Genomic DNA, 25,427 nt, shown 5'->3' on the forward strand with positions numbered 1-25,427 from the left:
GCTTGGCAAATATAAAATCGGTTGGATCCAAGAGTTTTTGCCCAAATATTACAACAATCTAACCTGTAGGGAAACTCACACGTGAAAAACACAGGGTAGGAAGCAGCAGTTTTCATCTAGTAGGTGTAAGAAAAATAAAAAAGGAATGAAGGTCTGGGCTTTGAGATGTCCTCCTTGGTCTTTGGGAAAGTGCAGACCAGGGAACACAAACCAAGGAAGGCAGAAGCTGGCAAATGACATGACCCATCCTACAGGTTTTCCAGAAATCACCCCTAGGGAGAGGCAGAGACAACAGAAAAGAGCTATGTGTCAGTGAGCATGCGCCTGGTTCTTGGCAAGGCACACTTGCTTAATGGGAGGGTGAATGAGATAATTAATATATAAAAAATGTGGATAGGGCTGGGTGCACAGGGAGGGGCACAGTGGGGAAGATGAGGAATGACTAAATGAAACACTGGTCAATTTGGCAGGGACTCCTGACTCTGAGTCGCAGCTCCCTGAGTACAGGTGGAGAAGGAAGCAAAGTCCATTCCTGTGTATTGCTGTATGAGCAATCATGTTGGAGTGGCATCAAAGCAAAGGTGAAGATAGCAGAAGGATGTGAAACAGAAATGAATGCAAGGGAGATGGGCCCGCTCCAAGACAAAGGTCCCGTCCTTTGGAACAGGGACACCAGAAAAACAGGGTTGCAAGAGTGGGTGGCTTCTCAAGGTGGTTGGGCATAGCATTGCTTCAATCATGTCAAAAAAAAAGAGAAAGGTTTGAGTATGGGCCCACAGGGTCTCAAGCAGCCCGTCTTCTCCCAGAGATTGGAAGAACAATCCAATGCCAGCCACCGCAAGCACCAATGGCCGTAGAACTCCAGCACTGGGAAGGGACCTTCACTGGGGGTGCCCCATAGCCAAGAAAGCCTCCCAGGCCAGGTACACCTCTAGGGCATCTGGCCCTTTGCTCCCAAGGGGCACCAGGAAAAGGGCCGATGGCCCTGAGCTGATGCTTCCTGGCCCAGATCTCTGCTAGTCCCTCCCAGACATGGCCGCCACCAGGCTCCCCAACCAAGACTTCCTGTGCAGGACCAGCCACGCATCCTGGTGCCTATCTCTGGGGCTTCCACGGCCTGAACTGGCCACAGACCCACTTCTGTCAGGCCTCCAGAGAGCTCAGATCTGTCCGGGCACCAGCCCTAGTCCTGCCTCCTCCCCCACAGCACTCCCAAGCCACTCCTTCCCAGGCAAGCATAGGGAAGGGTGTGCAGGATTGACAAATGATTTCCTCTTGATGGCAGTATTGCTCCAGAGATGCCTACCTGCCCTTCCCCCAGGTCCACTCCCTCCACCCTTTGCTGAGGAAAAAACGCCAACATGCTCCACACATGGCCGATCACAATCTTGGCCACTTTGGGCCAGCTCTAGCCCACCTGTGGCACCCTTTCCCTAGGGAGACTGGCCTCAGCGGAGTCCTCCTAGCCTGCCTTCCTGACAAACAGGAAAGCAGTCCCCTCGGACCGCCCTAGGGTTGGACTTGACCTAACCACATCCCTAACTATGCCTTTAGAATGGGAGGATGGTGGAGCGCTCAGGAAAAAGACAAGAGACTGGGCACAGAGTTGTATCTAAGCCACTCCCTGCCTACTGAGAGACATTTCCACTTGGGTGTTCCCATGAGTCACTACAAGACCAGCTTGACCACAAGGTCAAAGGCAACCAGCATCCCACAGGCCACTGGGGTGGACTAAAGAGTAAGGTGAACGTACAATTTTAGAACAGCAGGATTGAGCCCCCGGCTTGTCTCCTGGGGCAGCCCCATGGGGTACAGGCAAAGATAGATGAGACAGGAGGAGTGCCAGGTGCCACCCCAAACACACCTGGGCTATATCAGTCTCTGGCCAGCTCACCCCAGAATGTTTGAGGTGGGAAAAAACAGACAGGTGTGAGTGCTGTTGAGGACTCCTGTGTGTCACAGGGGAGCAGTAGATGGGCAAGACCCACTTTTTCTGATCTTCCTCCCCACATATATTCTCTGACAAAAACCTTATTATGACTGTGTTGGGGCAGAGTAGATATGGGAATACCTTCAACGTGTGCTGCCGAAACACACTGACCACGAACACTGTTGTGAAGATAAGACAGAGAAAATAGAAAAAGCAGACAACACCCAAGCTGCTGCCTCCCGGACTCATTCCCAACACTTTGAACCAAACTCTTTTTTTTCTCTCTCTCTTGCCATCTCCCCCTCTAACCCTCTCTCTCTATGTTTGTGTATCTGTCTTTCTCCAGGACATCATATCAATGTATTTCTCCTGAACTGTAAGAGATGCAACTGAACGTGTGAGAGGTCATGTCAGTAGGCTGACAGGCAGCAAGAGAAATGCCCAGGAAACAAGTTCCTCTTGATGGCAGTATTGCTCCAGAAATGCCCATCTGCTCTTCCCCCAGGTCCATTCCCTCCACCCTTTGCTGAGGAGAAAACGCCAACTGCACTCCAAACATGGCTGATCACCATCTCGGCCCTTTTGGGCCAGCTCTGGCCCACAGGCGGGAACTTCTCCCTTGGGAGACTGGCCTTGGTGGGGTCCTCCTAGCCTGCCTTCCTGACAAACAAGAAAGCAGTCCCCTTGGACAGCCCTAGGGATGGACCAGGCCTAATTGCCTCCCTAACCATGTTTTTAGCTTGGGAGGATGGTGGAGCCTGCAGGGAAGAGATGGAGACTGGACACACAGTAGGATCCAAGCCCACCTTCTGTCATTTATGACACATTTCCACTTGGGCATTCTCATGGGTCACTCCAAGGGCAGGTTGACTACAAGGTGTTTAGGTGGAAGGTGAATGTCTGTTTGAATTGCAGTCTCTGTGGGCACAGGTATTTACGTGAGTCTGTCTCTTGATTGAGATGGAAAAAGAGGACCATGTATTCTTTGGGACATTTTCTACTATTAGTGCTCTGAAGAAGGCGGTTCTCCTAAGGATTCAGGCATCAGAGGCTCATCACCTTATGCTTGCTACATTATGTCCCACCCTAAGGAAACAACACATTTCACCTGTCACCTCGAAAGGGTCCTTTAGGTTTCTTCCCTCTCTTGAATTCTATAGTGGGCTGAGCCTCACCACCATGGACACGCACCCCTGTTCATTTGTCAGCTTTTCTCGACATTCTCAAAAGTGCCAGAACTCACCCACCATGGAAAAGAGTCCAGTCCTCTGCGTTACCAGATCCCTTACTGCAAAGGAACATGTCCTCCAAGCTCTAGTGAAGCACAACATGTTGGACATGGCCATATTCTACTCTGCAGACACACTTGAATAGAGGCAGGGGTATGTCCAGGTGAATGAGCCAGGGCCAAGCGTCATTCACTACATTTGCCTGAGCATGCCCCAGAAGTTCTTTCTGGCACCCAGCAGGATCTCCTGAGGCCAAGCCCGATGGGTCTGTCCTTTTGTGTCATCTTAGCTTCTGGAATTTCAGCAGGTTTGGGACCACCCTCTCCCTAACAGTTTATACCCAGAGTCTCCATTTTGAAACGCTTGCCACAAAACACATTGGTCCACTTCTGATCACAGGACAAGGGCCTGCCCACCCTCAAAGCACAGGCTGAGTTGGCAGAAGGCTTCCAAGCAAAAATGAGCACCATAGATAATAGCCCACCTCCAAGGGAACATTTGGGGCATGGGAACAACAAAAGAGGGTCACGGGGTGGGGGGGCGCAGGGCACAGTGTCTCAAGGTAGCTGGGCATTGCCTTACATCCACTTTGTCAATGACAGTCTGGGTACCAGCCCTGCAGGATTGCTGCCCATTTTCTTCCCTAGGATGGAGGAACACCCCAGCGCTCTCCAACCACTGGCACCAATGGCTGCAGAACTCCAGTGCTAAGTGTGGCCCCTTCTCAATGGTGTGCACTGCAGCCAGGGGAGCCTCCCAGGGCTCAGGACCCAGCTAGGCCATCAGGATTCTTGCTCCCAAGGGTAGGGGCACCAGGCAAACTGCCCACGCCCGGAGCCCATGCTCCTTGGCTGAGGCCTCCGCTAGTCCCGCCCAGACATGGCCACCACCAGGCTCCCAAGACATGGCTTCCCAGGCATCCTGGATGTCCAGGTCACCCTGGCCTAACTCAGGGGCCTCCATGGCCTGAGCCACAGGCCCCATTTCCCACAGGCCTCCAGAGAGCTCGGATCTGTCTGGGCACTGGCCCTAGTCCTGCCTGGTTCTCCACAGCACTCCCAAGCCACTCCTCCCCAGCAAGCACAGGGAAAGATGCACGGGATTGCCACACAAGTTCCTCTTGATGGTAGTATTGCTCCAGAAATACCACCTTCTTTTCCCCCATCCACTCCCTCTGCCCTTTGCTGAGGAAAAAACACCAACCATGCTCCAAACATGGCCCATCACCATCTCAATCACTTTGGGTGAACTTTGGCCTACATGCAGGGCTCCTTTCAGCAAAGTCTGGCCTCTGCAGGGTCCTCTTCACCTGCCTTCATGACAAAGAGAGAAACAGCCCCCTTCAGCTGTCCTATGAATAGACTGGAACTTATCACATCCCTAACCCCGCCTTTAGCATGGGAGGATGGTGGAGCCCTCAGAGAAGAGATGGAGACTGGGCACACAGTAGGATCCAAGCCTACCCCTTGCCCTCTACAAGACATTTCCACTTGGGTGTTGTCATGGTTCACTCCAAGGGCAGCTTGACCACGAGGTCAAAGGTGACCAGCATCCCAGAGGCCACTGGGGTGAACTAGAGTAAGGTGAACGTAGAATTTCAGGACAGTGGGAATGATGCCCTGGCTCTTCTCACATGGCAGTCCTGGAGGGTCCCGGCAGGGATAAGTCAGACAGGAGGGGAGCCAGGTGCCACCCCAAACACACGTGTCCTCCTCATACCTGGCCAATGTCAATCTCTGGACAGCTTCCCTCAGAAGGTTAGAGGTGGAAAACACACAGAGTTGTGCATGCTGTTGAGGACTCTTGTGAGTCATGGGGGTGCAGAAGATGGGTGTGAAATGAAAACAAATATTGGGACCCCAAAATCACTAAGCTAAAGGGAAAAGTCAACCTGGGAACTGCTTAGGGGAAATCTGCCTCTCATTCTATTCAAAGTCATCCCTTGAGGTTCACTTGAGACAAATGAGTATCTGATTGCTTCCTCTCCCCTATCATTTATGTAAAAATGCAGATTCTCTGAGCCAGACTACATTGTGTATTCAGTGGAAAACTTATCGAGGGCTCAAAAGAATGCAACCTTTTGTTGCTTATCTACTTCTAACCTGGAAGTCCCCACTTCTTGTTGTCCCACCTTACTGGACCAAACCAATGTACATGTTACACATATTGACTGATGTCTCTGTAAACTGTCTAAATGCAAACTGTACCCCCGACCACATTGGGCACATGTCTCAGGACTCCCTGAGGCTTTGTCATGGGCACGTTCTTAACCTTGGCAAAATGAACTTTGTAAATTGACTGAGACCTGTCTCAGATATTTTGTGTTCACCTAGGCAAGACCCAAGTGTTACTATATCCTTCCCCACACATACCCTGTAACAGAAACGCTATGGCAACCATGTTGCAGCAGCTAAACGCAAGACCACCACCAACTATGCTGCAGGAACACAGTGACCAAGAACGCTACTCTCAGTATAAGACAGAGGAAACAGAAGAAACAGACTACACCCAAGCTCCTACCTCTCTGGTCCCCTTTGGGCTCCTTGACACCCACACACTTCTCTTTTGGATTTTCCATGAGATGTTTTTTTCTTTGTCTCTGTCTCACTCTCGTTCTTCCTCTCTCTCTGTTTCTACCCATCAGCCAAATGCTGTTTTGTCATCTTCCTCTCCTGCTCTATGTATTTGTCTGTGTGTTTTAAACTCTCTAAGATGTCATGTAAATGTATTCCTCCACAATTATAAAACATGAAACTGAACAAGTGAGAAATTGTACAGGTAGGCTGAGAGGCAGCAAGATAAATGCTCAAAAGCCCAAGGCCCCATGCCACATCTTCCACTTCTACCACCACTACCCCGGGGAATTTCCTTCTTGGTCCCAGAAGCCAAGGTGAGGCAAGTGACAGTTGAATGTCGTCCTGTTGGTCCTGGGAACTTCGGCACATGTTCAATGGCAAAAGTGCATTGAGGTGGGAAGGTAAATGGAAATCTCTGTGTGTACTGGCATGCACAGTGACAGGCGAGGTTGACGGAAGGCCCCCAGGAAGAAATGAGCACCAGGAAGATGGCCAAGCTCCAAGACAACCTCTGAGATATGGACACAACAAGAGAGGGTCACATCGGGGGAACGATATCTAAGAGTGGCTGGGCCTGGCCTTGCGTCCACCTCATCAAGCACAGTCTGGGTCTGGGCCCCGCAGGATTCCATGTGGTCCATCTTCCCTAGGATGGAGGAACACCCCAGCACCAGCCACCAACAGAGCCAATGGCCACAGTTAGGACTCACTGCTGGGAGTGGTCCCTCCTCACTGGCATGTAGTGTGGCCAAGAGAGCCTCCCGGGGCCAAGGACCCAGCTAGGCCGTCACCCCTGTTGCTACCAAGGGAAGGGGCACCAGGCAAACTGCCCATGCCCCTGAGCCCAGGCTCCTTGGCCAAGGTCTCTGCTAGTCCCGCCCAGATCATGGCCACCACCAGGCTCCCGAGCCATGGCTTCTTCTACAGGACCGGCGAGGCATCCTCATTGTCCAGCTCATCCTGGCATCTATCCTTGGGGCTTCCACGGCCCCATGTGGACATAGGCCCCACTTCCCTCGAACCTCCAGAGAGCTCAGATCCATCCAGGCACCAGCCCTAGTCCTGCCTGGTCCCCTACAGCACTCCCAAGCCACTGCTCCCCAGGTAAGCACAGGGAATGGTACACGGGATTGCCAGACAAGTTCCTCTTGATGGCAGTATTGCTCCAGAAATGCCCACTTGCCCTTCCTCCAGGTCCACTCCCTCCGCCCTTTGCTGAGGAAAAAAACACCAGCCATGCTCCAAACATGGCTGATCACCATCTTAGCAACTTTCACCCAGCACTGAGCCACCTGCAGGAGACTGGCCTCAGTAGGGACCTCTTAGCCTGCCTTCCTGACAAACAGGAAAGCAGTCCCCTTGGACCACCCTAGGGATGGCCACAACCTAACCCCATCCCTAAGTACTCCTTTAGCATGGAAGGGTGGTGGAGTCCTCAGTGAAGAGAAGGAGATTGGGCACACAGCAGGACACGAGCCCAGCCCCTTCCCTACAGGAGACATTTGCACTTGGGCATTCTCATAGGTCACTCCAAAACCAGCTTGACCACGAGGTCAAAGGTGACCAGTGTACCACTGGGTCCTGGAACTCAAACTTCAGGTGAATATACAACTCTAGGATAGCGGGACCAAGCCCACGGCCCTTCTTACATGGCAGCCATGGCAAGGGGGTTGGGAGGGAGAGCCCAAGCTAGCCTAGGTCAGACAGGAGGGGAGTTAGGTTCCATCCCAAACACACCTGTCCTCCTCACACCTGGCCTACATCAACCTCCCGACAGCTCTGCCCAGAAGGCTGGACATAAAAAACACAGAGAGGTGTGCATGCCATTGAGGACTCATGCGTGCTATGGGGGAGTGGTAGATGGGCAAGACCCAAGTCTTCTGATCTTCCTCCCTACACATATTCTGTGACGGAAACCCTATGTTGACCTCGTCGGAGCAGTCAAGGCGGGGGCAAATGCCTGACGTCTGCTGTAGGAACACAGTGACATTGAATGCTATTCTCAAGACAGAGGAAAAAGAAGGAACACACTACTCCAAGCTTCTACCTCTCTGGCCCCTTCCGGACTCCTTGACCCCTACGCACTTCCCTTTGGGATTTTCCATGACAGGTTTTTCCTTCTCTGTCTCTTCCTTTTTCTACTGTGTGCTCTCTCTCCTCCTTTCTTTTGAGCCACCCCCAGGCCCAATGTTCTCTCGTCCACTTCTACTGGGGCCCGCTTCCTCTCCTGCTCTGTCTCTGTGTGGTTGTTTTTTTTTTGACTGTCCAGGACTTCCTGTCAATGTGTGCCTTTAAGATGATAAGAGATGCAACTGAACGTGTGAGAAATCGTGCAGGTAGGCTGAGAGGTGGCAAGAGAAATGCTCAAGAGCCCAAGACCTGGTCCACTCCCTCCGTTTCTACCACCACCCCCAGCCCGGGGACCTTCCTTCTTGGTCCCTGAAGCCAAGGTGAAGCATGTTTAAGTTGAATGTCACCCCGTTTGTCCTGGGAACACCAGCCTGCACTAAACAGCAATAGTGCATTGCAGTGGAAGGTGAATGTTTGGTTGGTAGTCTGTGCACACGGGGATGGAGGGGCATGCTTATACACGTGGCTTGCTCTCTCGCTGGATTCAGGAGGAATGGAGGACCATGTACCCTGAGGACCATTTCTAATTTTGGTACTCCAAACTGGGCACTATGCTTCCAAGAATTCAGACCTCAGAGGCCCATCACCTCCTTATGCCTTCATTGAGTCCTACCAGAAAACAGCTTATCCCACCTGTAACTTCGATAGCATCCTCTAGGTCCCTTTGCACTCCTGAATTCTGCGAAAGGGTGCTGATCCTTACCTTTTGGACACGAGCCCCTGTTCACCTGGGAGACTCCTGAACACATTCAGAAAGGCCAGAATTCCCTGGGAGATGGCCCAGTCCCCTGCTGTACCAGACCGTGTTCTGCAAAAGGACACATCCTCCAAGCCTCATCCGTAAAACCCATGTGGGGCTTGGCCTGATTCTACTTCAGAGACCCACTTGAGGAGAGGCAGGGTGATGCTGCCTGGGTGCACCTCAGCAGACCCTTCTGGCACATAGCAGGCTGTCCCCACACCGAGTCTGAAGGGTCCTTCCTTCTGGGTGCTCTTGGCTTCCCATACTTTAGCAGACCTAGGAAGGCCCTGGTCCCACCCAGCTGTCACCCAGATAGTCTCCATTTTGCCACGTTTGCCACTCAACCCACTGGTTGGTCCCCTTCTTGTCAATGGGCCTGTGCACCCCCAAAGACAGATGGGGTCAAAAGAAGGCTCCCAGGCAGAAATGAGCACCTTGGGGGAATGGCCCAGCTCCATGACAAACTCTGGGATGTGGACAAAACAAGAGAGGGTCACATTGGGAGTGCAGTGTCTCAGGGTGGTTGGGCCTTGCCTTGCATCCACCTTCTCAAGGACAGCTTGGCTATGGGCCCCACAGGATCCCACACCAACCATCTTCCTCCTTGGATGGAGGAACGCCTGGGTGCAGTTCAGCACCATCACCAGTGGCCACAGAACGCAGCGCTAGTAGTGGCCCCTCCTCACTGGCATGCAGCGTGGCCAAGAGAGTCTTCCAGGGCTGTAGACCCAGCTAGGCATCACCCTCGTTGCTCCCAGGGGAAGGGGCACAAGGCAAACTGTCCAGGGCTCTGAGCCGATGCTCCTTGGCTGAGGCCTCGCTAGGCCCACCCAGATAATGACTGCCACCAGGCTCCCCAGCCATGGCTTCCTGTATGAGTTGCACCAGGAATCCTGGCTGTCCAGCTCATCCTGGAACCTACCACGTGGTCAAAGGCTACCAGCATCCCATTGGCCCCTAGGGTGTGGCACTAAAACTTACAATCCCAGTATAGAAGGACTGAGCCCCTGGCTTTTCTCACACAGCAGCCCTGGTAAGGGGGTGGGGGAGAGCCCAAGCCAGAATAGGTCAGACGGGACCAAATTGAAAGCCAGGAGCCACTCCAAGCACACCTGTCCTTCTAACACCTGGCCTATGTCAACCTCTGGAGAGCTCTCCCCAGAAGGCTTCTCTACAGAGGAGTGCAAGTTGTTGAGGACTTGTGTGTGCTATGGGGGAGTGGTAGATGGTCAAAACCCAAGTGTTCTGATCTTCCTCCCCACAAAAATTCTGTGACGGAAACCTTATGGTCACCGTGTTGGGGCAGTGAAGGCGCGGGCAAATGCCTAATTTGTGCTGCAGGAACACAGTGACATTGAACGTTGTTCTGAAGACAGAGGTAACAGAAGAAACACAGTAATCCCAAACTGCTACCTCTCTGACCCCTTCTGGACTCCTTGACCCCCACACACTTCTCTGAGATTTTGCACATTTATTTCTCTATCTCTGTCTCTTTTCTACTGCGTGCTCTTTCACTCTCTATTTCCACCCCCAGGCTCACTGCTCTTTGGTCCACTCCCACTGGGGCCTGCTTCCTCCCCTACTGTCTCCGTGTTTGTGTTTCTTTTACTATCCAGGACTTCCTGCCAACGTGCCTTTAAAACTGTAAGAGATGCAATTAAATGTGTGAGAAATCATGCAGGTAGGTTGAGAGGTGGCGGAAAAAAAATGCCCAAGAGCCCAAGGCCTGTGCCACCTCCTCCACTTCTACCACCACCACCTTGGTGAACCTTCCTTCTTGGTCCCCAAAGCCAAGGTGAGTCAAGTCCTAGTTGAATGGCATCCCGTTGGTTCTGGGAACATAGGCCCCTACTCAACAGCAAGAGTGCATACAGGTAGAATTTGAATGTCTGTTTGGATGGCAGTCTCTGTGCACATGGACAGGGAAGGGCACACCAATCCACATGGCTTGCTCTCTCGCTGAATTCATGTGGAAGGGAGGACTATGTGTCTTTCAAGACCTTTTCCACTTTTGGTCCTCTGCTTCCAGAATTCAGGCCTCAGAGGCCCATCACCTCCTTATGCATTTTTCAGTCCTACCAAAGAAACAGTACATTCGACTTGTCTTCTCAAGAGGGTCCTCTAGGTCCCTTTCCACTCTTGAATTCTGTGAAGCAGTGCAGATCCCCACCTTTGGACACAAGCCCCTCTTCACTTGGTAAACTCCTGAACACACTCAAAAGGGCCAGAATGACCCAGGAAATGGCTCGATCCTCTGCTTTACCTGACCATGTCCTGCAAAGGGGTGCATCCTCCAAGCCTCATCCCTGCACCCAATGTTGGTCCTGGCCCAATTGAACCTCAGAGACCCTGAGTAGGGCAGGGGGTTGCTGCCTGAGCACCCCAGTAGACCCTTCTGGCATACAGCAGGGTGTCCCCAGGCTGAGCCCAACAGGTCCTTCTGTCTGGATGGCCTTGGCTTCCCAGATTTTAGCAGGCCTAGGAAGGCCCTGATGCTACCCAGCTGATGCCCAGAAAGTCTCCATTTTGCCATGTTTGCCACCAAACCCATTGGTTTGTATGCTTCTGATCACAGTGCAAGGCCTTCACAACCCCAAGACATATGGGGTTGATGGAAAGCCCCCAGGCAGAAATGAGCACCATGGGGAATGGCCTGGCTCCAAGAGAAACTCTGGGACATGGATACAACAAGGGAGTGTTGCATGGGAGGGGTGCGTGGTGTCTCGTGGTGGTTGGGCTTGGCCTTGCGTCCACCTTGTCAAGGACACTCTGGGTATGAGCCAAGATCCCACGTGACCCATCTTCATTCCTAGGATGGAGGAATACCCCAGCGCTGGCTACCACTGGTGCCAATGACCACCGAACTCCAGCACTGGGAGTTGCCCCTCAGCACTGGGGTGCACTGCAGCCAAGGGACCCTCCCGGGGCCAAGGACCCAGCTAGGCCATCACCCCCATTGCTCCCATAAGAGGCACCAGGCAAACTACCCATAGCCCCAAGCTGATGCTCCTTAGCTGAGGCCTCTGCTAGTCCCGCCCAGATCATGGCCACCACCAGCCTCCTGAGACATGAAATCCTTTAGGGAACTTGCCAGGAATCCTGCCTGTCCATCTCATTCTGGCACCTTTCTCTGGGCCTTTCACAGCCCTATTCAGCCATGGGCCCCTCTTCCCTCAGGCTTCCAGAGAGCTCAGATCCATCCAGGCACTGGACCTCATCCTGCCTGGTCCCCCATAACACTCCCAAGCCAATCCTCCCCAAGCAACCACAGGAAGGGTGAGCATGATTGCCAAACAGCTTCCTCTTAATGGCAATATTGCTACAGAAATGCCCACCTGCCCTTCCCCCAGGTCCACTCACTCTGCCCTTTGCTGAAGAAAAAATGCTAACCATGCTCCAAACATGACTGTTCACCACGTTGTCTACCTTGTGTAAGCTGTGGCTCACCTGTGGGGCCCTGCCCTGTCCTGGGGAGACTGGCCTTGGTGGGGACTTCTTAGCCTGCCTTCCTGACAAACAGGGATTTGGTCCTCTTTGACAGCCCTAGGGATGAACCCGAGCTAACCATATCCCTAACTATGTCTGTAGTATGGGAAGATGGAGTTCCCAGGGAATAGATGGAGACTCAGCACAGAGTAGGATCTGAGCCCACCCCTTACCCCCCCAGGAGACATTTCCAGTTGGGCATTATCACAGGTCATTCCAAGGCCAGCTGGACCATGAGGTCAAAGGCCACCAGTGTCCTATTGGCTCCTGGGGGTTGGGAGTAAAGAATCAGGTGAATATGCAGTTCCAGGATAGGGGGACTGAGTCCTGGGCTCTTCTCATGTGGTAGACCTGGGTGTTCTCATGTGGTAGCCCTGGGAGTCAGACAGGAGGGGAGCCATGTGTCACCCCAAACACTTGCGTCCTAGTCACACCTCGCCTATGATAATCTCTGTATAGCTTTTTCCAGAACACTTCGGGTAGAAAACACACAGAACTGTGCATGCTGTGGAGGACTCATGTTTGCCATTGTGGAGTGGTAGATGGGCAAGAAGCAAGTGTTCTGATCGTCCTCCACATAAATGTTTTGCACTGGAAACCGTATTGCAACCATGTTGGGGCAAATTAGATGTGGGCATGCCCCCAACATGTGCTGCAGGAACACACTGTCCAGAAACACTGCTCTGAAGACAAGACAGAGGACACAGCAAAAATGGATTACACCCAAGCTGCTACCTCCCTGGCCCCTTTCCATTTCTTTGACTTCTACATACTTGTCTTTAGGGTTTTTATGACATAATTTTTTTTTTCTTTTTCTGCTCTCTTTCTCCCAGTCGTTAGCCCTCTCTTTCACCCTTTTGTCTTCTCTACCTTTATCTGTTTGTGTTCCTTTTTGTCTCCAGAACTTCACATCAATGTAGTGCTCCCAAACTTTGGCAGTTGCAACTGATCGTGTGATAAATCATTCAGGCCAAGTGAGAGACAGTAAGAGAAATGCAAAAGAGCCCATGGCCTGTGACACTACTTCCAGTTCTACCACCCACCCGGGGGAACTTCCTTCTTGATCCCCAAAGGCAAGTTGAGGCAAGTAACAGTTGGATGTCACCCTGTTTATCCTGGGAACATTGGCCTGCAGTCAACAGCAGAAGTGCATTTTTAGGTGGAAGATGAATGTCTGGATAGCAGTCTCTGATGGAGAGGCACATGTGTCCACATGGATCTCTCTCTGAATTCAGGTGGAATGAAGGAATCTGTTCTATTTGGGAACTTTTCTGCTACTGGCACTTCCAAGAGGAGAAGCTTCTCCCAAAGTTCCAGGCTTGGAGGTTCATCCTCCCATTATCTTTACATTCTGTGTCATGCCAAGGAAAGAAGACATGCCACCTATTACCTTGAGAAGTTCCCGTAGGTCCCTTACTATTCTTAAACTCTACAAAGTGGGTGTGACCCCCATCCCTGTGCATGCTCCTTTGTTAACTTTGGCCACTCATTCTTCACATTCTTGAAAGCGCCAGAACCCACCAATAAATGGCCGGGTCCTCTGCTTAACCAGATTGTTTCCTGCAAAGCGACATGTCCTCCAAGCTTCAATCTCACATGCCATGTTGGATCTGGCCTAATTCCACCTCCAATACAGAGGAGGCATGGAGATGTCTGGGTTAATGTGCCAGGTCATAGCACCATTTACAGCGTTTTCTGAGTGTACCCCAGCAGTCCTTTCTGGCATGTAGCAGGCTCTCTCCACAAGAAGCCCAATTGGTTCTTCCTTCTGCATGCTCTTGGCTTCCTGGACTTCAGAAGGCCAAGGAAGACTCTCTTCCCTCCCAGTTTAAACCTAAACATGGCAAGGACCTGGGAACTCCCCAAAGAACAGGAGGGAGCCTTGGAAGGTTCCAAAACAGAAACGAGCACAGGTTCCAAGACAACCATCTGATCCTTTGAGACATAGACACAACAAATGAGGTCCTCAGGGGTGCATAGTATCTCATGGTGGCCAGGCCTGGTGTTGCCTCAATCTCATCTAGTAAAGTCTGGGTTTAGGCCCCACAGGGCCCCAGACAGCACATCTTCTTCTTTAAGATGGTGGACCATCCCAGCACTGGCCATCTCAGGCACCAATAGCCAAAGAATTACAGTGCTGGGAGTGATCTTTCACTAGGGTGCACTATGGCCAAGGGAGTCTCTCAGGGCCTGGGACCCACCTAGGCCTTCCCACCCATTGTTCCCAGGGGAAAGGGAACCAGGCAAAATGCCCATGGCCTTGAGATGGGGCTCCCTGGTGGAGGCCTTTGCTAGTCTTGCCCAGACATGGCTGCCACCAGCCTCTTGAGCCACAGCTTTCTGTATGGGACCCGCCAGGTGTCCTGGATGTCCAGCTCTTTTTGACACCTGTCCCTGGAGTTTCCAGAACCTGAACAGGTCATGAGCCATGCTTCCCGCATGCCTCTGGATAGCTTATATGGGCAGAGCTCCTAGTCTTGCCTGAATCCTGACAGTACTACCAAGCCACTCCTCCCCAAGCAACCACAGGGAAGGGTGATTGTGATTGCCATACATGTTCCTCTTGATGGCAGTACTGTACCAGAATTACCAGCAAACTTCCTCCCCTCCCTCAAGATCCTGTCCCTGTGCCATCTGTTATTAAAGAAACAGCCAAGAAGTATCCATTGTAGCTGATTACTGGGTGCCTAGTTCTCACAACTGGTACATCCTGCATAACCTCTTCCCAGTCTGGTGATCTGTCGCTCTCACATGCCATCTACTTGTCTTCAAACAATAAAGATCCCACACTTGGGCTGGCCAGGAGAGGACACAGATGCCATAACAGGAATACCCACCTCCTTGCACATGACCCATGGTCAGTGACTGAACAACTCTCCATAGAAGGCTTGTAGATGCAGGTATACTGTAGATGCAGGTATACTTCTAAGCCTCTTGAGTTTCAGCTTGGAAGAGAATGACAGCTCTTTAAGATACCACATTTCCTCTATGTTCCTCCTGAGAGTGTTGAAAGATAGATTTAAAGACCATGGGGAGATTGGTACCAGGCTGTGGGCATGAACATGCGTCCCCACTCCGTTCTGCAGGAGCACCCTCTTAGAGTTCAGCCTGAGCACACAAGTCCTCATTAGTCAGGAGAAGGGCCATAGTGCAGCAAGCCAGGCCCAGGAGGGATCAGGTGACATCAGGCAGAAAAGTGAGTGAGCACATAATTTAATGCAAGGCAAAAGTCCAGAAGATCTGGCTCCCTTCCCTGGGTCCCAAACAGACTTTTCTGCCCCAGTGAGGCTGGGATCATTTATTATGGGCAATAAAGGGAGCCCAAAAGTCCTATCACTGGCAGATGGCCTCACGAAGTTCTAGGCCCAACCCATTTCCAACCTCCCCTGCTCTTTAGGACAGAGACCTTGAGTTTCATGAAGTAACCCAATCCCCTTAACGGTACACATCATACCTAGGTGCTCATTCAGATGCTTCCCTACTTTGAGCCCACCATCAAGACTTTACTCATGAGCCTTTCCTACCAAGCATGGTAGAAAGCTATAGAAGAGGATACAAATGCCCCATGCCAGCTATCTACATGCCCTAGTAGTCTCTCTTGGAGGAGTGCTGAAATCCCAGAACCACTGCCCCACTTATAACATAAAACAGACTCTTCAAAAAGAAGAAGAAAAAAAAACCACTTGCCCATAACCCCAGCACCTACAGACAACCCAGGCTTGCAGTTTTCCTCTCTTTCTGTCTATTCTGTGTTCCCTGAAACAAGATAGCCAACTGTCCTTCACTGTATGTGGGATGGACTGCTAAAGTGACATTCAAAACATAGCAGTGTACATATACCCCATGAAAGCAACTGGGTGAGGGCTTTTAGGCTAGGATATCAGCTCTCTAGTGTCCTGTCATCTATGGAGAAAGCATATCATGAAAATCAACTCTACTCATCTGGAAATCACACAAATGCTACTCGAGGCTGTCATAAAGAGGCAGCTCTCCTGGAATTGTCTTGTATAAAACCAGAGGATATCTGTCCCTCAGTTCTCCTTTCTGTGGGTACCCTGACTTTCTCACCTTGGCGTCTCCCCTCACAGTATTTCTTTCCTGGTTACTTTACTTATATGAGTATGGAAGAATAAATTTCCAAGTATGTTCACAAGGCTGTTTTCTCCAACATGAATAGAATAATAGATCCTCTAGTGACCTGTAGCTCATCTGGCTGGTGGAAAAATGAGAACCAGGTACCTCCATTCTGGCTGCACACAGCTATGCCATATTGATGTTCTGGGCATAAGGACAAATCATTCTTGGATGTGGCTACCTTTTAATCTACCAAGTCACTTTCTTCTGGGTGGACATTAATACCATATGATGCACTTGTCTCTCTCTCTCACTCACACACCTCCTACAGAAAGTAGGTCTTTACATAGCCTCAAAGCTACTTCTGTTTCAAGAAAACAGTAGGGGGGAAAAAGGAAGAACCCTCATGTTCAAAGAGAAGGGACATGGTAAATAAATGATGTTCTTGCCACCTCCAGGAAGACACATGGGCAACTGAGCAGTTATTAGGAAATGAAAAGAATCTGGGAGTATGTTGACTCTGAACAGAGAGGCAAAGTCCAGGAGATGTGTTTTGTGAAAGCTACAAAGTATAAGAAAGTCTATCACATGTAAGCTTCTTGGTGTCAAAGCACACATACCTCTGCATTTGCCTTCATTCACACTGGACACTAAAAACACACAAGGAAAAATCACATCTAATTCTCACTGTAGGCAGAGTCAGGAGGATGAATAGAAGGCAGAGGGGAAACCTGGGAGTGTCCATCATGCAGTGTTAAGGGCTACCACTTAATTGGGAGGAATCTCTATCCACAGTGGCATCTCCAAGGTGGTTATGGGAGAAAGGAAGACAAAAAGAAGAAAACACACAGATTCACATACACAATTAAGGAAGAAAGTAGAAGCATGTGTGTTGGCATGCATACATGGATGTATGAATGCAGAAACAAGTGAATGTGGGGGTGCTCCAGGGAGAGAAGAGCCACACTTTCAGGTAGAGCTTCCTCGAAGGGGCTGCAGAACCAAAGGTCCCCACCAAGATCACCTGTCTGTGTGGAGCCACTGGGCCCACTTTTCTGACACATGGAACACCAATCTGGATCAGGAGTGCCTACCTGAGAACCTTGGAGGTAAGCCAGGGTATTATCCTCCCAGTTGTAAAGCTGATCATACAAATTGGGTCATCTTGTCATACGCAACTAAAACAGAGGCAAGCGACCAGGGGCAAAGCCACTTAGGGCATATAACATTGCTTCAACGATGTGATTTTTTTGCAATCCTGACCTCTGTAATGACCAGCTGTAACCTGAAAACAGTTTTTTCTAATAGCTACTGAAACAATCTGCTCAACTCTAAGACTTGTTTTACACATGGCCGTCACTCACCCATCAAAGCTTGCCAGCTCTTTGAAACTTTGCTGGTGCTAATAAACTTTCTGGAAAACAATACATAACATTTCACCTTTTTCTAAAACCTCCAACTTTTGTCTGCTCTTTGAAAATACCAAAGTCTACCTAGTCTGTGAGTACACCCCAAATTGTAATTCTTGTTTCCCAAATAAAAGATTACATTTAGAGATTTGCCTCTACATTTTTTACTTCAACACACTTGGTGCCAGAAGCAGGATTCCAAAGGTGACTCACCTTGGGGAGAATCACCAGCCCTTGGATCTAAGGTATGAGGTACTCACACTGGGGCCCAGTAAGCTCCCCACCCCACATTCATGATCTGCCTCCCTTCATGAGTCTGTTTTGGAACAAAGTCTTGATTTTGATTGAGCTCTGTTTTGTTTTGGATTTGACTGAGGAGGGGTCTTTCCCCCTCTTGTTTGAAGAGAGATCTTTCTCCTCCTGGCTAGGAGATTTCCTGTGGAGAAAGGTTAGTTTCCTCCTGTTGACCTCAGCTGGAAATTTGAACCTCAGCTGGACGCTTGGTTTCAAGGTTTGGTTTAGGGGATTTACCCCTTCATATGGAGAAGGCTTACTGTCCTTCCTGGTAAGTAAGTACTATATTTTCCATTGGCACTTTCATTTATTTGGCCTTTGCATATTCAGCACTTGCATTTAACTGGCTTTTGTGTATTTGGCAGTAAACCAAATCATCAAGGCATATTTAGTTAAAAATGAGCTCTCAAAGTTCAAAGCCATGCCACAATATTTTCTGGGAGTCCAGCTGATAACATGTTAAAATGCTATAGGGATCATTTAATCTGTTGTTCTTAAAACTAAAGTGAAAGATTGTGTCCATAAAATTTATACTCCAAATTAAACTCTTATCTCAATTGATATGTTGAGGCTTAAAAAAAAACAACAAAACAATTCAGGACTAATAGTAATATTTTCTGGCAAGGCAATCTTTCTCAAAGCTAACTGAAACAGTCTGCTCCTGGGGCTTTCCTCTCCCCATCTTATAATTCCTCCTTTTTATCCTTCTCTAAGCTAAACTCTTTTTTTTCTGCAACTTTTCAGCGATTCTGATATACTAGTTAAGTAAAAATCACTTAAAAACCAGCAAAAATGAAAGAAAAAAATTTTGACCTTGATGCTGTTTCTTAAATGTAAAATATAAATTTTTCATGTAAAAGACACCAGCCCTATGTGAAAAGGAATGGCAACATTCTTATCTTCAAGAAAAAATAGTGAAGTCCAAGAAAATACCCTAAAGGCTTTGTTAGAATAACTCTCACCTTTTAGGCCTCCTCATATAATTGGGTCACATTTTAACAGTTAAGTATTCTTTGTGAAATCTAGCTGAATTAAACTGTTTTACTCACAAGTTGGTTCACAGCCTTTACAAGTGTATTAGGCTATTCTTGTACTGCTATAAAGAAATAGCTAGACTGGGCAATTTATAAAGAAAAAAGGCTTAAATGGCTCATAGTTCTGCAGTCTTTATAGAAAGCATGGTGCTGGCATCTGCTTGGCCTTTGGAGAGGCCTCAGGAAGCTTACAATCATGACAGAAGGCAAAGGGGAAGCAAGCACATCACATGCTGACAGCAAAATGTGGGGAGGTGCCACACACTTTTAAATGAAGACCAGATCTCATGGGAACTCAATATCATGATGACAGCACCAAGCCATGAGGGATTTACCCGTGACCCAAACACCTCCCACCAGGATCCACCTCCAGAATTGGGGATTACAATTCAACATATTTGGATGGCCATAAATATACAAACTATATCAAAGATTACCTATTATAAATTTAAGTTTAGCCTTATCTCATTAAAAAAAATTGAGATCCAACTGTCTTATAAATCTGTGAGTTTGGCTTGTTTTTGTTTGTTGTTTTTTCAAGATGGTTGACTAAAAGCATTTTCAGCATGCCTCATTCACTTAGAACTACAAGGGTATAGACAATCACACCTTGAATACATTATTCAGAAGGAACATGAAAGTTCCACAGAAAAGTAACAGGAAAAACCAAAAAGTAGGAAGAAGAAGAAAAAAAAAAAAACAACAACCAAAAACACAAAACAGGCACCCTGCTGGCCCAAGGCTGGCTGGAAATGGACAGTGACTCCCCAGTATGGGGAGAGGGTGAGGGAGAGTCTTACTATGGCCCACTTTCCCACTGGGGAATCATACAATCCAAACTACCAAACAGCACTCTGAAGCACTACATGTAACTTGGGAACCCCTGGGAGACTGTGAGAAAAAAAAAAACAAAACACTGCAGGGAGGGAGCTTACCCTGGGTCTCACACCCTTTTAAAAATCTAAGCAGCTGCAGAAAAAAATGCCATTTTCAATCCTAGCTTTTACTAGACTAGGATCTGTTTTCAGGTACTGTCATGAAAACCAGTGGCACTAGTCCTAGGCATGGAAAGTTGAGCTGTTTATTAGAGTTGGGGCACAAGCAGAGGGTGGGCTCCTATAGCTAGGACTAAGAAGCAAGGGTGGGGTAGGCTGCTGCCTTTCACATTGGGCATGGGGGAAATGGGTATTGTAACCTTGCAGCGAGAAGCAAGTTACCATGAAGTCTTGGTATAGAGCTGGACAGGGGCTCCTACAGCCTGGGGCTGAATTGTGGGCTGGGTACAGACTGTGAGGTGTGATGGATCAGCTGGATTAGCTGCAACAGCTGGAACTGGGGAGCAAGCTCTGGTGGGATGGGGGCATGAGAGGGATACACATCCCCCATTCACTGGCCAAGGCTATGGCCACCGGAGCCAGCCTCATCTTCCCCAGGGTAAGACCTCAGCATGGCAGCTGCTGTCCCTAACCCAAGAATTCTGCTAGGACCTAAAAACTGCCCTGCCCATCACAGCAGGTGCATGCACGTGTTATTGGAGGGCCTGAGAGCAAGATTTCCTGGTTCAACTCCAACAGGCTTTGCCAAATCACCTCCCAAGACAGAGTATGGGGTCCAGAGCCTGGGAAATTGTACAGCCCAATCCACTATGTGGGACACCAGAGCACTCCTCCTAAAGTTGGGCCTAACCAACTTACAGATTCTACCTCTGCTGCTTCTCATCTGCAAATGCCACCTGCTGGCCTGCATAGCCCATTGCAACCATTGCCAGCACAAGTGCATAGTTCTTGGGACCCAGAAGAGCATCTTGCCACTGCTACTGCCATGACCCACACCACAGCGGCTGCCCAAGGACTTGAGAGCCTATAAGCATCTGAGAAAGCCATGCAGAGGCCCATGAATCAGCTCACTTGGAACCACTAACACAGGTGCCAGCATACGTAACACCATGATATGAGGATAGACATGCTTGGCCAACCACTGCTACCTCTGAAGCCTGAAGATGAGCCCATCTGGCACTCCAGTCCCCATAACCACTTTACCATAGTCTCCACTAATAACTGCACCTCAGCATACTGAGGAAACCACAGACACCACTAATGCTGTTCATAGCCAAAGAAATCACACAGGGGCTTCCCTGCAGCACACATCCAGAAGCAAAGCTAAAAGGCCCCACCTAATCAACACCACTGACACACCTTCAGAAAAAAAAAAATCCCCCCATCCAGTGAAAGTAAATTCAAAAATAGGAAAAAGCAACTGTTACACTAGATGTCCAGAAATTAATGTAATGATACAGGAAACATAAAAAAGCAAGGGAATATGACACCCTCAAAGGAACACAACAATTCTCCAGCAATAGCTCTTAACGAAAAAGAAATTCTCAATTCTCAAAATCTTGGATAAATAATTCACAATATTAATTTTAAAGGTCAATGAGATGCAAGAGAAATTGGAAAACCAATGCAAACAACTCCAAAAAAAACAATTCAGGATACAAATGAGAAACTTATCAAAAAGATTAAAAAAAAATTCAGGAACTGCAGAAATTATTAAAGAAAATATAAAATACATCCAATAGCTTCAACAATACACTAGACCAAGTAGAAGAATTTTAGAAATTGAAGACAGCCTTTTAAAAACAATCCACTAAGATAAAAATTAAAAAAGAATTTAAAAGAATAAACAAACCTTTGAAACACTTGGGACAACATAAAAAGGCTAAATTTAGAAACTATTTGTATCCCTGAGGGAGAAGAGCCATCAAAAAGGTTAGAAAACCAATTTAACAAAATAATATATGAAAACTTTCCAATTCTAGTGGGAATTGTAGACATCCAGATACAGGAGACTCAGCAATCCCCAAGAAAATACAACACAAAAAGAACCTTGTCACAACACATTATAATAAGAATGTCTTAAGTCAAAGTGAAAGAGTGAATTCTAAAATTAGCAGAAGAAAAGTATCTATTCACCTATAAGGAACTCCCATCAGACTAACAGCATAAGAAATGCTCAAGGGAGTCCTACAATAGAAGTGAAAGGATGACATTTACCACCATAAAAACACAAGAAAATATAAAACTCACTGGTAATCACAAAAAGGAGGAAGAGAAAGGAATCAAAGAGCACCACTGCAGCATCCACCAAACCACAATGACAAACACCAAGACTAAAAAGAAACAAAAAATTTATAAGACAACTAGAAAATAATTAACAATATGACAAAACAAAACCTCATGTCATTAAATGCCTATGATAGAAAGATTACAAAATAACAATCTACTAATATGCCCTAATAACTAAAAAAGCAAGAACCAAACTGAAAATTAGCAGCAGAAAAAAATTACAAACATTAGAGCAGAACTAAAAAAAAATGAAAACTAAAAACAATACAATGAATCAACAAAAGTTGGTTCTTCAAAAGATTAAAAACAGTTAAAAATCACTAGCTAGACTAACCAAGAAAAGACCCAAATAAACAAAATCAGAAATGAGAAATATGACAATACAACTGACCAACAGAAATACAAATGATCAGAGATAATGAGGAAGAACTATATGCTCACAAATTAGGAAACCTAGAGGAATCAGGTAAACTCCTGGAAACATACAACTTCCCAAGATTAGACAAGAAAAAAATAGAAAACCTAATTAGAGCAATAAAAAATAGCAAAACTGAATCAGTAATTTAAAAAATTATCTCCAAATAAGAACAAATAACAAGATTGAATCAGTAATTTTTAAAACCTCCAAACAGGAAAAGCCCAGGACTAGATGAATTTAAAGTCAAATTCTACCAACATACAAAGAACTAATGCTAATCCTCCTCAAAGTATTCAAAAAAATCAAAGAGGCGAAAATTATCTCTAACTCATTCTATGAGGCAGTATCACTCTAATACCAAAATCAGAGAAGGGCACACAAAAAAGAAAAACTCTAGACCAATAACCCTGATGGACATAGATGCAAAAATTGCAACAATAATACTATTAAACCGACTTCAAACTATACTACAAGGCTACAGCAACCAAAACAGCAAGGTACTGGTACCAAAACAGAGATATAGACCAATGGGACAGAACAGAGCCCTCAGAAATAATACCACACATCTACAACCATCTTATCTTTGACAAACCTGATAAAAACAAGAAATGGGGAAACGATTCCCTATTTAATAAATGGTGCTGGGAAAACTGGCTAGCCATATGTAGAAAGCTGAAACTGGATGCCTTCCTTACGCCTTATACAAAAATTATTTCAAGATGGATTAAAGACTTACATGTTAGACCTAAAAGCATATAAACCCTAGAAGAAAACCTAGGCAATACCATTCAGGACATAGGCATGGGCAAGGACTTCATGTCTAAAACACCAAAAGCAATGGCAACAAAAGCCAAAATTGACAAGTGGGATCTAATTAAACTAAAGAGCTTCTGCACAGCAAAAGAGACTACTAGCAGAGTGAACAGGCAACCTACAGAATGGGAGAAAATTTTTGTGATCTACTCATCTGACAAAGGGCTAATATCCAGAATCTACAAAGAACTCAAATTTACAAGAAAAAAACAAACAGCCCCATCAAAAAGTGGGCTAAGGATATGAACAGACACTTCTCAAAAGAAGACATTTATGCAGCCAACAGACACATGAAAAAATGCTCATCATCACTGGCCATCAGAGAAATGCAAATCAAAACCACAATGAGATATCATGTCATACCAGTTAGAATGGCAATCATTAAAAAGTCAGGAAACAACAGATGCTGGAGAGGATGTGGAGAAATAGGAACATTTTTACACTGTTGGTGGGACTGTAAACTAATTTAACCATTGTGGAAGACAGTGTGGCAATTCTTCAAGGATCTAGAACTAGAAATACCATTTGTCCCAGCCATTCCATTACTGGGTATATACCCAAAGGGTTATAAGTCATGCTGCTATAAAGACACATGCACACGTATGTTTATTGCAGCACTATTCACAACAGCAAAGACTTGGAACCAACCCAAATGTCCATCAATGATAGACTGGATTAAGAAAATGTGGCACATATACACCATGGAATACTATGCAGCCATAAAAAATGATGAGTTCATGTCCTTTGTAGGGACATGGATGAAGCTGGAAACCATCAGTCTGAGCAAACTATTGCAAGGACAGAAAATCAAACACTGCATGTTCTCACTCATAGGTGGGAATTGAACAATGAGAACACTTGGACACAGGGCAGGGAACATCACACACCAGGGCCTGTCACGGGGTGGGGGGACGGGGGAGGGATAGCATTAGGAGATACACCTAATGTAAATGATGAGTTAATGGGTGCAGCACACCAACATAGCACATGTATACATATGTAACAAACCTGCACGTTGTGCACATGTACCCTAGAACTTAAAGTATAATAAAAAAATACATATAAATACTATTAAATCAAAACAGGGCACAGAAAAAGATAATACACCATAATCAAGTAGGTTTTATACCAGAGATGCAAGGACAACTCAACATATGCAAATCAACAAATACGATACTTTGCATTAAGAGAATCAAGAACAAAACCCACATGACGATCTCAATAGACCCAGAAAAAACATTTCATAAAATTCAGCATCCCTTCATAATAAAAACTCTCAAAGAACTAAGCACAGAAGGAACATGCCTCAAAATAATAAAGGCCATATACTACAAACTCACAGCTAACATTGTAGCAGGACAAGCCACAGACAAAACCCCTCAGACATCGAGTTAAGGAAGGGCTTTATTCGGCCGGGAGCTTTGGCAAGACTCACATCTCCAACACAATTCCTGTCCTTAAAAGGGACAGGAATTGCTCACTCCAAGAGCTCCCTGAGTGACCAATTCCTGTCCCTTTTAAGGGCTCACAACTCTAAGGGGGTCCGCGTGAGAGGGTCATGATTGAGCAAGCAGGGGTTACATGACTGGGGGCTGCATGCACCAGTAATTAGAAGGGAACAGAACAGGACAGGGATCTTTACAGTGCTTTTCTTATGCAAATAACCAATTAGGTCAGGGGTCGATCTTTAACTACCAGGCCCAGGGTGTGGCACCGGGCTGTCTGCTTGTGGATTTCATTTCTGCCTTTTAGTTTTTACTTCTTTGGAGGCAGAAATTGGGCATAAGACAATATGAGGGGTGGTCTCCTCCCTTATTCTGCCCCTTTGAGAATCTCACTCAATAGTGGGAGTTCTCACTTTCATTCTCACTACCCATGTCTTCTTGCAAGACTGATTGATAGTAATTCATATAGTACACTTGTGCTAAAGCATTTTGGTGAACTAAGGTAGTGATGAAGCATTTTATCATTTGAAGAAGTACAGGTAGCAAACAAGGGAGCAGTAAGCAGGTTCCTATTACTATTATGACTCTTATTATAAGAGTTTTAAACTCTCCTAGCACTGGGAACCATTTTCCAAACATGGCTCCAGGATCAAATCCATGATACACTTGCACGGGCACATGTGCCAGTTTTGTCATATCCCTATGCCTTCAACTACTTGCCC

At 47.4% G+C, this 25,427-nt stretch overlaps 2 long non-coding RNA genes across 3 annotated transcripts in view, besides 4 other annotated features; one reads left to right on the forward strand and one right to left on the reverse strand.

The window, feature by feature from the left end:
* Positions 1-13,704, forward strand: part of DANT1 (DXZ4 associated non-coding transcript 1, proximal) — a 64,564-nt gene extending 50,860 nt beyond the window's left edge. For both annotated transcript variants that reach the window (NR_147172.1, NR_147173.1), the window contains one exon: positions 12,996-13,704. This is a non-coding gene — a long non-coding RNA (DXZ4 associated non-coding transcript 1, proximal). The remainder of the gene's footprint in view (positions 1-12,995) is intronic.
* The window catches only part of DANT2 (DXZ4 associated non-coding transcript 2, distal), a 128,716-nt gene that overhangs the window by 51,428 nt on the left and 51,861 nt on the right, over positions 1-25,427 (reverse strand). The gene's annotated exons all lie outside the window — the stretch shown is intronic.
* Positions 1,071-1,570: an enhancer, noted in NCBI's record as "H3K4me1 hESC enhancer chrX:115009227-115009726 (GRCh37/hg19 assembly coordinates)". NCBI's record gives its function as "activates a minimal SCP1, AML or CMV promoter by ChIP-STARR-seq in primed H9 embryonic stem cells {active_cell/tissue: H9 hESC(primed)}" and the evidence as "EXISTENCE:reporter gene assay evidence [ECO:0000049][PMID:30033119]".
* Positions 2,116-2,165: an enhancer, noted in NCBI's record as "active region_29865". NCBI's record gives its function as "activates an Ori minimal core promoter by ATAC-STARR-seq in GM12878 lymphoblastoid cells {active_cell/tissue: GM12878}" and the evidence as "EXISTENCE:reporter gene assay evidence [ECO:0000049][PMID:35858748]".
* Positions 8,861-9,362: an enhancer, noted in NCBI's record as "H3K4me1 hESC enhancer chrX:115017017-115017518 (GRCh37/hg19 assembly coordinates)". NCBI's record gives its function as "activates a minimal SCP1, AML or CMV promoter by ChIP-STARR-seq in primed H9 embryonic stem cells {active_cell/tissue: H9 hESC(primed)}" and the evidence as "EXISTENCE:reporter gene assay evidence [ECO:0000049][PMID:30033119]".
* Positions 21,929-21,988: an enhancer, noted in NCBI's record as "active region_29866". NCBI's record gives its function as "activates an Ori minimal core promoter by ATAC-STARR-seq in GM12878 lymphoblastoid cells {active_cell/tissue: GM12878}" and the evidence as "EXISTENCE:reporter gene assay evidence [ECO:0000049][PMID:35858748]".

The sequence above is a fragment of the Homo sapiens genome, chromosome X (genome assembly GCF_000001405.40).
Source record: "Homo sapiens chromosome X, GRCh38.p14 Primary Assembly".
Classification (NCBI taxonomy): Eukaryota; Metazoa; Chordata; class Mammalia; order Primates; family Hominidae; genus Homo; species Homo sapiens.